The following is a 14110-nucleotide window of genomic DNA, read 5'->3' as shown; positions in this document are numbered from 1 at the left end:
TAAAGACCATAGTACACTGAAGGTAATAATTTCAACAATAAAACCCTACTCAGCCCAACGTCTCAGGCACCCACATTGAAGACCAGGCCAACTAAAAGCATGCCTTAGTTACCACTGTCCTAAAAAAATGTACAGCATTAAGCCAAAATTATGAGACATATAAAGAAGCATCCACCCCCATCTCCCATTTTCTTTCTCTCTGCTTTTTCATTCTCCCTTTAAAATGCCCAGTCACCCTTGTACGAATCACAGTGGAGCTCTGCTTTTTTCCCGACTGTCATAGTTACTGACCACTCTAATGCCATGCTTTGTTTATCTTTGACACAAGTCATAGACTGGGATGAAATATTTTTAGTACATATATCTGAAAAAATGTTTGATATCCTGGTACATGAAACATTTGCAAACAATAATATATATATATGTATTTCATGTCTGTATATGTATACGTCTATGTATATATAAATATATGGCTAAAAAGCACTTGACAAGGTGCTCAATATCACTAGTCATCAGAGAAATGCAAAACAAAACCCTAATGTGATAAAATTTCACATTCAATATGTTGGCTATAATAAAAACCATTTGACTGTACCAAATTTTGAAAAGGATATGCATTGCCAGTAGGAGTGTAAAAATGATACACCTGCTTTGGAAAACAATTTGGCAGTTGCTTATGAAGTTAACCATAATTTATCTATAACCAACTGTCTTAGTCCATTTTGTATTGCTATAAAGAAATAGCTGAGGCTGGGTAATTGACAAAGACAAAATGTTTATTTGTCTCAGAATTCTGATGGCTGAAAAGTTCAAGATTGGGCATCTGCATCTGGTGAGCACATCAGGTTGCTTCCACTCGTGGGGGAAGGGGAAGAGGAGCTGGTGTGTGCAGAGATCACATAGCAAAAGAGGAAGCAAGAGAGAGAGAGAAGAGGTGCCAGGCTCTTTTTTACGACCATCTCTCATAGGACCTAATGAAGCAAGAACTCACTCACTACCATGAGAATGGCACCAAGCCATTCATGAGGGATCTGTCCTCATGACCCAGAGACCTCCCACTAGGCACCTTCTCCAACATTAGGGATCAAATTTCAACATGAGGTTTAGAGGGGTCATACATCCAAACCATGTTATCTTCCAATTGCATTTCTAGGTATTTATTTGAAAATACATAAAAACTAATGTCTACAAATGACAACTAAAAGACTATTTATTCGTAACAGTCCTGTCTATGATAGCCCCAGACTGAAAGCCACCTACAGGCTCATCAACAGAAGCATGAGTAATAATATTGAGTATTCCAATGAAATACTCCTCAGCCATCAAAAGAAATGAAAGAGAGATGAATGCAACAATATAGATGCATCTCAAAAGCCCAATCTTGTATGGAAGAAGCTAGAAACAATTGTGACTGCATGATTCAATTTATATCAAATGCAAAACAGTCAAAAGTAATCTTTGTTGAAATAAGCCAGTCAATGATTAGCTCTAAAAAGTGGCTGTTAAGATCAGCTTGGTGGAGGCAGGAGGAAACTTCTTGCGGTAATGGAAATGCTCTATATCTTCCTTTTGATGGTAGTTACAGGGGATCAAAAAATTATCAAAAGTCATTGTACTGAACACTTAAGATTTATGCATTGTATTAGTTGAGGCTATTCAAAAAATAAAATTAATAATTAGGTATAATGCCTTTTTGTTCATACTAGATTTTTTAAAATTGTCCTACGAGTTGAAGTATAGAATATACTACGAAAGAAGCCTTAAAAACTTGGTTTATTTTGGCAAATATCTTCATTGCTTAAAAAGTTCTACATATTGCCTACACATTAATTAATTTCATTGTCTATTTTCTTGATCAACATAGAATTATGTAACTTTAAAGCTGAGAATGTTGGATAAATCCTGAAGATTCTCAGTTATTGAAATGTGGACTAAAATACACTTAATGAGTAGTAAGTCAATGTATGAAACAACAGAATAGTAGTTGTTAACATACACTGAGTGCTTATGATGAGAAAATAGGTATTTTTCTTTAAGAAAATAGGTTTTCTTAAAAACCTATTTTCTAAGGGAAAACTTAAACAGGGCTAAATATACAAAAGATATCAAAGAAGCAAGTCTGGTTGAAGTGAAAACATGGGCACCTGTAGCACCACTTCATTAAAAGTTTGAATATATCCCTCACCCAACCCTATCGATTTTGCTTGCCTTGGAATAAAATATTTTATCTTCCATGCCTTAAGGAACTCACGCATTATGAGCCAGAATAAATGTAATGATGAGCTGAGTGCTATGCTAAGTGATTTACATATGTCAACTAATTCAGTCCTTTGATGTAGTTACATCTATCTGCTACTCATGAAGAAACTGCAACGTAAATAGGTTAGGTAATATGCCTAAAGCCACAAAGCCAGTAAAGTGTACAACCAGGATTTAAATTCAGTTAGTATGGTACTATCTCTGTAGTGTACCACTGCATGGCACAGAAATTTAATGCATCAAACATCAAATTATATAAATGTAAATTACTGTTATTTATTACATGTTTGGGAAAATTTTACCTTTATGTCGTTCATTTTAACACAAGTACTTAGCGATAGCTACTTTGGGTCTGGCAAGGCAGTGGGACTTGGGACAATCAAAGATGATACCTCACCCAGGAAATTAAAGTGACTGAATTAAGGAGGTGTTTGCAAAGTACTTTCAGAGTACTGTGGGAGCACAGATAATTGTGGTAGTAATTGTGACTCTGGAAAGAAACTGAGATTTGCTTTGAGTCATAGTGGGCCATAATGAGTGAGTTCACTGGTACAGAGAGATGAAAAATGGTTTCCCAAGTACAGAGGAAACCATGTGCAGAGGCAAAGACACGGGAAAGAGTGTTTGGGGGAGAATCTGTATTTATTTTCAAGGGGACATGAGATAATGTAGTAAGATAAGAGGCTGGAAAGATAGGTGCAGACTAGATCATTGAGAGCTTTGACTATCCAACATATTTAGAGATTTTATCCTACATCCCAAAGGTGTTCAGATTTTTTCTTAAAAACCTATTTTCCAAGGGAAAACTTATACAGGGCTGAATATATAAAATATATCAAAGAAGCAAGTCTGGCTGAAGTGAAGACATGGGCACCGTAGCAGCACTTTATTAGAAGTTTGACTATTTTCCCCCACCCAACCCCATCAATTTTGCTTGCCTTGGAATAAAATGTTTTATCTTCCATGCCTTAAGGAACTCACGCATTATGAACCAGAATAAATGTCATCTCCTCCGTGTAACTATAGGCCCTTCAAAAAGAGAATTTGAAGAACAGTGCTGTGGGTAATGAAGAGTTACTGAAGAGTTTTAAACAAGCTGGAGGGTTTGATCAGCACAATTTTTGATTTGGAGAAAGAGACTGCAGCCAAGAAAGACTAAGAAAGTCAGAGTTACAATAATTATAGTAGAACTAGAGGAAAGAAGAGGGGTCATAAATATTACTCAATCTTGTGATCTGATTAGATGAAAGGGCTAAAGAGAAGGAGGAGTAAAGTTTCCTGGTTAGGTGACTGGTACCATTACCAGAGAAGACTATACTCAGTACAATTCAGGGCTTAATAGAAAAGAAAATCATGGGTTTGCAGAAATAACTCAAACAGGTAGATGTCAATTAGAAGGCACAACTGTGAAGAGGTATCCAAAGCTGATACTCAGAATTTACCACAAAAGGCTCATCAATATCCTATTGACATAATCCAGAGAAAGAGAGGCAGAGAGAGAGAGCAGATACTTTGCACAAAAAAGAAGCAGTACTGGGAGAGTGGAGCAAGAAATTCTAAAGCAAGGTGGTTCACATTAAGTAATTATATTTAAGAGTGAATTCATTTGTCCAGGGGCATACTTGCTGTGGTTCTAGCTCTAAAGGAAACAAAACATACCTTACCCTACCTTGACAGAATTTTCAGGAATGGCAGCTAAAGAGGAGGAGGAGATGGTTTGGTCTAGAAGTTTACAGTTTCCTATCCAGATGGCAATACCAGTTGCTCCTATGCTCCTGACAAGCAAATTAATTAGTGTTTTTGTCTTTTTTCTTTCTTTTCTACTTTTAGTCCTAGCTTCAGAATTCCAGTCTCTTAGATGACCAAGGACACTCTTCATCCTTTGAGGGAAAAGGGAATGCCTTTTATTTTTTATATTTTTCTAATTATGGAATGTAATCACCTTGACTAACTATGGTAGTAATTGTAAAAGCCTGTTGTTTGTAGGAGCAGAATCAACATCTCCTGGGAACTTATCAGAAATGCTAATTTTTGGCTCCACCCCAGACCTGCAAAGTTAAAAACTCTGGGAATTTAACAGCAATCTGTGGTTTAACAAGCTCTCCCAGTGATTCTGATACACATTCAACTCTGAAAATAGATGTCTTCAGCTGACATAGATAAGCCTGTCTACCATATATCTAGCCTCTGGTTAATTGTTAATGCCTGGTTGGAGACGGATGTGAGAAAAGATTCTGGAGAAACATTGAGGGGTTGTGTGAAATGATACTGTGATTCATCAGGTCCACCATGTCGGACACTCCTTCCTCATCCCTCCAGGGTGTTACACCAGATTGGCCAATTTCCTGCAGGGAGACAAGCCCAGCCTTCTCAATGTACTTCACATAGATAAAAATATGTATGATCACCCCTTCACGTTAACTTTGGCGTCTTCCTCGAACCCCAGTCACAAATTCCTTCATGCATAGTGCCCACTTGGCCTGTAATATTTACAGCCAAAACACATGAAAAATAAACAGGAAGATTTGATAAACCACTAGACTAATTTGCCATGGATATTAAAATGTAGAAGAAAGTTCTATATTAAGTTATTTTTCTCTGTGTGTTCTACCTAAAATCATCTTAGAGTTTATTCAGCATTATAGTGAAGCTTGGTTCGTTTTGGGTTTTATGTCAGCAAATCGGTCTAAGGACATATTTTACTTAACATCAATTTTACAGAGGCATTGCAAATGTGGAAAAATACCAAAAGCATTTTTAAATAATTTATGACATCCATTCATTCAACAAATATTTAATGAATACTAAGTACTAGGTATTGTGCTAGGGCTTGGAAATCAGAAATGGGTCATACGTAGTTCCTGCTCCCAACCCAGAACTCTAGAAGAAATAAAAAATCAGTGTGGTGACAGCATACTCTGCATAAGCTCTGGGTGGTAAGCCCAGGTAGCAAATGTTGGGAGGTACTTAGTCCACATTATATGTGACGGTAAGATGGAAAGAATAGGAACAGAAGCCTTTCCGGAAGGGCAGAATTAAAAGCTGAGTTCTGCAGAACAAATATCAGTTATTTAGAAGAAGGGGCAAGGACAAAAAGGGCATGCAAGCAGAGAAACTAGCATGAGTCAAAAGCTAGAGGTGAGAAATAGCATGATGTGTTTATCAATTACATGGAGTTACATGTGGCTAGAGACAAATGTGTGGTGTTAGGGGAGGAGAAGGAGGGTAAGATGAAATTTATGCTGCAGAGATGTGCAGGACCAAGAACCAACTGAGGCTGGGGGGAAAGTTCATTTGAGGACTAAACAACTCTGAGTTAATTTTGTTTTTTGCTTTGCCATCATTTTCTTTGTGCTACTGTTCAGAGCAATCCTGGAACACTTCACTCCACATCACTTCATTTGGAAACTAGTCTTGTAAATATAGATGGAAATAAATGATGTTGTCCTGGGCAATTTTGAGAGATGACGGCTGCTGGCATGTCCACATCGCCATTTCTTTCTGGGAAGTTTTGCTGTTAGATATGGCTGCTGTTGACTCTCTCCTGGTACATGTAGAAAACTTGCCTGCCTCCCTCAATTCTGATAGGTATCACTTAACAGTTTTTGTAAAAGTAGAAGGATCATTTCAGAGCCCTTCATTATCTGGTTTAGAAGAGCCTTCAATGTACAAAGTTTATTTGGTTAAAATATTCCCTCTTATAGTCAGTTGCTACTAATAGAAAACTGGAAAACAATGGATTAAACCAGTGTGATGTTATATTTCTTTTACCACAACCTGCAAAGTAGGAAGTCTGAAGCATGTACAGAAGCTTTGTGAAGCCATCAGTTCTCCAAGCTTCTTTCTCTCTGTTCTGCTTCCCGTAGTCTGTGCCTTCTATCCTCAAGGTCATCATCAGTTATCTCAGGATGGTTACTATGGTGCTGACCATCTTGTTTTTTTCCCACTAAAAAGAAGAAGGAACGACAACAGGGAAGGGCCAAAACCCGTGTATCAGTAGACTCAGACCCCTCTGAAAATTTTGTTCAGAAATCTCACCAGGTGACTTTTGCTTACAACTCATTGGCCAGAACTGCCTGCCACATGACAGCCTACTTGCAAAAGAGAATGGGAAATAGATATTTTCATTTGGGCATGTTGCTATCTGAAATAAAATATTGCTATAGTAAGGAAAAGGAAAGAATATATAATGTGGAATAGTTAGGAGAAATATAAGGAGAGAATGTATATTGTAAATACTATTAAGAATCACTTCTGTATCTGAGATCTGTCCTCAAGCAGGTACCCAGATCTCTAGAGTCTTTCTCTTTCTGCCTCTAAAAATGCAAGTGCTGTATCATAATCCAATTCTACAGTTCATCCCATGTGTTTGATATAACAGCATTATATTAATGAGCTATTTTACTCTCTTTATCACGGTTGGTTTTCATTAATCCTCTCTTCTATTTACCACTAATGTTAATGTGTGCTCATGTGTCCACACACACATGTACACGCATGCATATGTTTCTGACTGCTCTGAGCACATGCATAATTTGAGGTATAAGTATGGAATTATTTCCTGAGGCAAGACTAAATGCTCTGTATTTGCGTTTTTTACAATCTCCATTCATGAAAGAGCTCAATTGCTTTCCAACCCCTCCTTTGCCTTTGGAAAATTATCCTTGAAGAAAACACAGTGGGTTGTCTCACTTGTCAGCAAATGAAATAAAAAGAAAAAAAAATGGAAAAAGAAGCCTATGTCTTTCATAATTAGAAGTTAGGTTTACATCTGTTTCCTGAAAATTAAGACTTTAAAAACAATTCCTTAAGGGCTAATTAGAGGAAAGTTGGTGGTTGTGTGTTTTGGCAAGAGTTCCTTTGCAATAAGATATTTAGAAAAGATGGAAGGATGAGTTCACAGCATTGTTTCAAGCTCAGGCAAGAAAACTCACCTACTGACATATTGAATATTTTTTCAAGCATAAACTTCTAAATTTAACCCATTGCCTGGATATTGATTTATTTTGATCAGGTAGAGACAGATTAAAAAACGAAATAAAAAGAAGTGAATTGAAATGAAACAAAATGACACAATTCCACATTTAATGTGCAGAATTATTCAGAATATATACAGGTCATCCTGTCTTTGGAATGGGTACTGATTCTAAGGTTCACTGTAGATATTTAGCTCCTTGGGTTTTAGGAGGGGTACAAGGGAGGCAATAATTTTTAAACACTAATTAGTCAGATGAAAGATTTCTTTTGGAATAAAAGAAAATGCCTGGCAAAGAAGGTGGTGATTCCAAGGTGCTTACTATTTTTGGCCATTTTCTGTCTTGTTTATTCATAGCTTTTTTCTCCAGCCCATCTCTGTCTTGCATCCTCCACCATCCTCCCTCACCCCACTTGTGTGAAGAGTTACAAACAGGGTAGTAAATGTAAAATTTCTTTGAGTTCTCCTAACCAGTTCTATTTCCTTAAACAAATAACTTCATATGAATGTTGTGGAATATAAACTTACTTTGTTTAAAAAATTCTTAGTACCAATTCCTAAGTTTCCAATGAAAAAACAAATATAAATGTGTTTGGGATACTATAAAGCGCCACATAAATGTAAGTAATTGTTATTGCCATACAGAAGTTGAACTTGTCCAGTGTGTAGTTAACACATACAGACCTAAGCCACATCCATATACATATATACATATTTGCATAAATGTATATATGTATAATATACAGGTTCTTGCCCAGCCTTTTAATGTACACATGAATATATAGTTACACATACTTAGCAAAGGTTTATGAGATTTCTTTTGTTTATTCCAACTTCTATTTTAGGTTCAAGAAGTACACATTCAGATTTGTTACCTGGGCATGCTTTCCGCAGTGGCTGAACAAATTTACATTCCAACCAGCAGTAGATAAGTAATTCCCTTTCTCCACAACCTCATCAGTATATATTATTTATTGGATTTTTAATAATAGCCATTCTGACTGGTGTGAGATGGTATCTCATTTTAGTCTTGATTTGGATTTCCCTAATGATTAGTAACATTGAACATTTTTTCATATGCTTGTTGACTGAGTGAATGTCTTCTTTTGAAAAGTGTCTGTTTATGTCCTTTGCCAATTTTTAAATTGCATTTTTTTATTATTTGTTTGAGTTCCTTATAGATTCTGGATATTAGGCCTTTGTCAGACGCATAATTTGCAAACATTTTCTCCCATACTCTAGGTTGTCTGTTTACTCTGTTGATAATTTCTTATACTGTATGGAAGTTCTTTAGTTTAATTAGGTCTCACTTGTCAGTGTTTTGGTTTTGTTGCAAATGCTTCTGGAGTCTTCATCATGAAGTCTTTACCTGGGATGATGTTCAGAATGATATTTTCTGGATTTTCTTCTAGAATTTTTATAGTTTTAGGTTTTACATTAAAATCTTTATTCCATCTTGAGTTGATTTTTGTATATGGTGAAAGGTAGGGGTCCAGTTTTAATATTTGGCATATGGATAGTCAGTTAGCCCAGCAGCATTTACTGAGTGGTGAGTATTTTCCCCATTGCTTGCTTTTATGAGCTTTGTCAAATATCAGATGGTTATAGGTATATGGCTTTATTCCTGAGTTCTCTGATCATTCCCATGGATCTATGTGTCTGTTTTTGTGCCATTGCCATGCTGTTTTAGATACTGTTGCCTTGTACTATAGTTTGAAGTCAGGTGGTGAGATGACTCCAGCTTTGTTTTTTTTGTTTAGAATTGCTTTGGCTGTATGGGTTTTTTGGAGGGGTTCCAAATAAATTTTAGATTTTTTTTTCTAATTCTGTGAAAAATGTCATTGGTATTTTGATAGGAATAAAATTTAATTTGTAAACAGCTTTGGACATTATGGCCATATTAACAATATTGATTCTTCCTATCCACACACTACGCCATAAAGGAATTCTCAGCAAATGTTTTTGAAAAACTGAATTACCAACCACACTCTTGGATCACAGTGCAATAAAAATAAAAATCAGTACCAAGAATATCTCTCAAAACATAGAATTACATGGAAATTAAAATGCTCCTAAATGATTTGGAGTAAACAATAAAATAATACTGAAATCATACCAACCACGCTCTTGGACCACAGCAAAATAAAAGTGGAAATCAATACCAAGAACATCTCTCAAAACCATACAATTATATGGAAATCAAACAACATGCTCCTGAATGACTTTTTGGTAAACAATGAAATTAAGACAGAAATCAAGAAATTCTGTGAAACTAATAAAAACAAAGATACTATGTACTAGATCTCTGGGACACAACTAACACAGTGTTAAGAGAGGTGTTTATAGTACTAAACATCCACATCAAAAAGTTAAAAAGACCTCACATTAACAATCAAACCTAGAAAAACTTGAAAAGCAAAAGTAAACCAACCCCAAATGTAGCAGAAGACAAGAAATAATCAAAATCAGAGCTGAACTGAACAAAATGGAGATGAGAAAAATCACACAAAAAATCAATGAAACCAAAAGTTGGTTCTTTGACAGAAGACATAAGATAGACCACTAGCTAGACTAATAAAGAAAAAAAGGAAGAGGATCCAAATAAACCCAATCAGGAATGATAACATAGACCTTACCACCGACCCCACAGAAATATAAAAACTCTCAGAGACTATTATGAACCCCTCTATGCACACAAGATAGACAACCTAGAATAAATGGATAAATTCCTGGAAACATACAACTTCCTAAGATTGAACCAAGAAGAAATAGAAAGCCTGAACATATCAATAATGAGTTCTGAAATTGAATCAGAAATAAAAATCTTACCACTCAGAAAATGCCCTGCATCAGATGGAGTCACAGCCAAATTCTATGAGATGTATAAAGAAGAGCTGGTACCAATCCTACTGATACTGTTTCAAAACATAACAGAGGAGGGACTTCACCCTAATTCATTCTATGAGTTCAGCATCATTCTGATACCAAATCTTGGCAGAGACACAATGAAAGAAGAAAACTTCAGACCAATTTTCTGATTAACATAGATGCAAAAATCCTCAACAAAATACAGCAAATTGAATCCATTAGTACATAAAAAACATAATCCATCATGAGCAAGTATGCTTTATTCCTGGGCTATAAAGTTGGCTCAACATACACAAAATAATATATGTGATTCATCACATAAACAGGACTAAAGCCAAAAACCAAATAGTCATCTCAATAGACGCAGAAAATGTTTTTGATAAAATTCAATATCCCTTTATGTTAAAAACCCTCAACAAACCAAGAATCAAAGGTACATACCTCAAAATAATACCAACCATCTATGACAGACCCACACCCAAAATTATACTGAATGGGCAAAAGCTGGAAGCATTCCCTTTGAGAACCAGAACAAGACAAGAATGCCCACTCTCATTACTCCTATTCAAAATTGTACTGGAACTCTTAGCCAGAGCAATCAGGCAAGAAAAAGAAATAAAAGGCACCCCAATAGAAAGAGAGAAAGTCAAACTTTGTCTCTTCACAGTGAATATGATTCAATACCTTGAAAAAAAAACCCCTTAGTCTCTGTCCAAAGGCTCCTAGGTCTGATAAACAACTTCAGCAAAGTTTCAGGATACAAAATCAATATTCAAAACTCAGTAACATTTCTGTACACAAATAACGTTCGAGGTGAGAGTGGAATAACAAAGGCAATCCCATTCACAATAGCCACAAAAATAATCAAATGCCTAAGAACCAAGCTAACCATGGAGATGAAAGAGCTCTACAATGAGAATTACAAAGCACTGCTAAAGAAATCAGAGACGACACAAACAAATGGAAAAACCTACCACACATTTAGCCATAAAGCTTATGAGGTTTTCTTATTTCCATATATTTCCACTAATAGTGCTTATTAGCAAACTTTTTTGGTAACCTCCAAGATAAAAAACGTCACTTCATTTGAATTTCCACTTTTGTATTAGTGAGGCTGAGCACTTTTTATATAATTATTGACTACATGTATCTCTATTTCTATATGTCGACTGCCTATATTCTCTGTGCATTTTGTTGCTGGTTCATTTGTATTGTTTTTATTTTCAGTGAGAAGGACTTTAGAAGACAGAAAAATAATCAAGTAGAAGGAATTCCAGGCTAAGAACTGCTGAAACACAGCCAAAGTGGTATGAAAGTGCATGGCAAACCCAAGAACTGTCAAGTTTGACTGGTATCTCTGGAGTGTGGATAAGTGAAGGCCGTGGGAAATAGGACTAGGAAAAGAGCTGTATGCATGATTATAGAAATATTGTATCTTGATGTCAATATTTAAAGCCTCTCTGGACCACTGTTTGCTAATTGCATGGTGAAAAATGTTAGGCACCTTATCGAGATGAATGACTAAAAGCTGAATAGAAAAGAGACAGCATCGCTGCAAACGGATGGGGAATACTGACTATAAAAAGTCACCTGAAGAAGCACAAATGCTCTTTGAAAGACCTCACTATTGGGAGCCACTAAGTTTAAATGAGCCCCCGATTTGACACTAACTTACTGGGTAACCATGGGCAAATCATCTTCGATTCCTTGAGCAGTTTCCTCATGTTCAAAGTGAGGTAGACCAGATGACTTTCACATTATTTAGACATTTCTAAATTCTGTCACATGTATGTACACATCATTAGTTGGTTCCTCTGTGTGATAAGGCTTGGCATTTGCTCATTCTAGAATGTGAAAGAATCTTCAGGATGTCATGACTGTGGTCTGAGTGCTCCTTGTAACCCTATTCCATGTCTGCTAATTAACTGTGGGAATACACTCGTCATTTCTCAAGTACAATTCCAGGAATAAAAATAAAGTGGCAAAATATGACATTTTCAGGGTTATTCAGCTTTCTGTTTTGAAAGATATATGCTGCATTTTTAACTTTTTAGAAAACTCTCTAGTTCTTAGTCTCTTTGCTTTTTCTTGGTCATATTTGAAACCAAATTGCTCATTTTTTTTACCTTTCAAGTTGCATGCAATCTTTGTACAAGTATAATATTAGTGATGATATTAGCATGCCTCAGTTCATTCCTGTTCACCTTACAGGATCTAGACATGATTTCATTTATCTCTAATATAAGAAGTGTTTCTTATATTACTAAATGTTATAAGATGAGAAACAGTTTGTGTTGCTCTTTTACACATAATTGGTAATAATTATTTTTGGATAGCTATATATTTATGAATAAATTCATTGTTTAATTAATAAAACAAACTAAGTAAAAAGAAACAACTGGTGCAATGAGGGACTCAATATTTGCAGAATTGTACTTATGGTCATTTATTGGAGAAATTTCATAGTCTCCAGTATGGTTATAACTGTGTATTATTTAACTTAACCTTTTAAAGACTTTCTTTGTTGCCTTCAGCCTTAATTGCCAGATGAAAATGTTTTGCAACAAAGCTGAAGATAAAAATGTGCTAATATTTTCAATTGAACATCAGTATTTTTCTGTTATCAAAATCAATGTATATCCCTCAAAATTTGAGTGCTCTATTTTACTTAAGAAAATCTTTCTTTTCTTTGCAAACGTTTCATAGGCTATGTATCTATGAATTTTGACTAATACCATTTTTGATGTGTGCTCAGGAAGTTAACAAAATCTGTGACAAAATCTTGTTTTCCAATCTCTAACCCCAAATTAATTATTAAAATAGAAGTGAACATACATATAAAACCTTTTTGATAAATGAATTAACGAAAAGACGTTCATTAAGCACTTCAATTTAATAATGTCGTATTTACACACTAAAGGAGGCATTGCCATTCTACTTAGGCTCTAAATGTTACAAAAACAAATTGCTTTTTCTCTTTGTATAAGACAGTTGAAAGGCAAAAGAAAGAAATTTGTTATTCACCGACATTATCCAGACTGAAGCAAAATTTAGTTTTCTTTGTCAGACTGACAACATCACAATTTTCCATTTAGTGGAAACTGATATATCATAAAGTCAACCACAAAATGATTTGGAAGCTATCAAGATCCTCTTTTTTTATTCCAATGAATCTGTCATGTTCAAGGTTACATAGACAAATAGTTAAGGGCCAGAGGACTGTAAGAGAGACAGGCACATAGTAGGGCCCAGGCCACCACAGACCAAAAAGAGAAACCTGGCTTTCTAGAACATCTCTGGGTCAAAAGCTAATTAGAACCAAAGGCTTTGGAGAGCAGAAAGAGGTAAATGTTGTTTCCTAGCATAGGAGAACTGCAGCAAATAGATAAACACAGCAGTTCTAGTTAAACACATAGACCCCAGTGATTTCCCTTTGTAGATTCTTGGCACTATCACCTGGACAAATTTATTGACAGAGGTGAACTCTTCACATAAAGAGGATCTAGCTATTGTCTCTAGAGTGACAATATGGTACAAGCTATGCAAATGGGCCTGTGCTATAAATCAGAACTGCTGCAAATTTCGAATACACCATTCTCATTAATACCTTTCAAAAGAAAACTGAGTAAGTTGACAGATGTGTACCCTAATTGGATTGCTTATTGTCAGAACCTCACTAATTTACAGGTGATTTATTTCAACTTTTTCAAGTCCATTTACAGTTCAACTTTAAGTACTTTTTAACCTTAATATCTCTTAATGGTCCTGGGATTAAAAGACTGAAATATGAAGGCTCAAATGGGTCCAGAAGAAATTCCTGAACTCTTTGTTATTTCTTACATTGCTCAAAGGTGAAGTTTGGAATAATGTAGTTAGCTATTTGTGTGCTTTCCACACCAAAACTCATCTTAATAGAGAAACATTTGTTCCATTACTCCGTTGGCAAATGTCAATTGGCAACTCTCTATGAAAAACAGTGTCGAATGTAGGGATGCCCTCCAAAGCTAT

Source organism: Homo sapiens, chromosome X (assembly GCF_000001405.40).
Source record: "Homo sapiens chromosome X, GRCh38.p14 Primary Assembly".
Classification (NCBI taxonomy): Eukaryota; Metazoa; Chordata; class Mammalia; order Primates; family Hominidae; genus Homo; species Homo sapiens.
Note: the sequence above shows the minus strand (reverse complement) of the source record.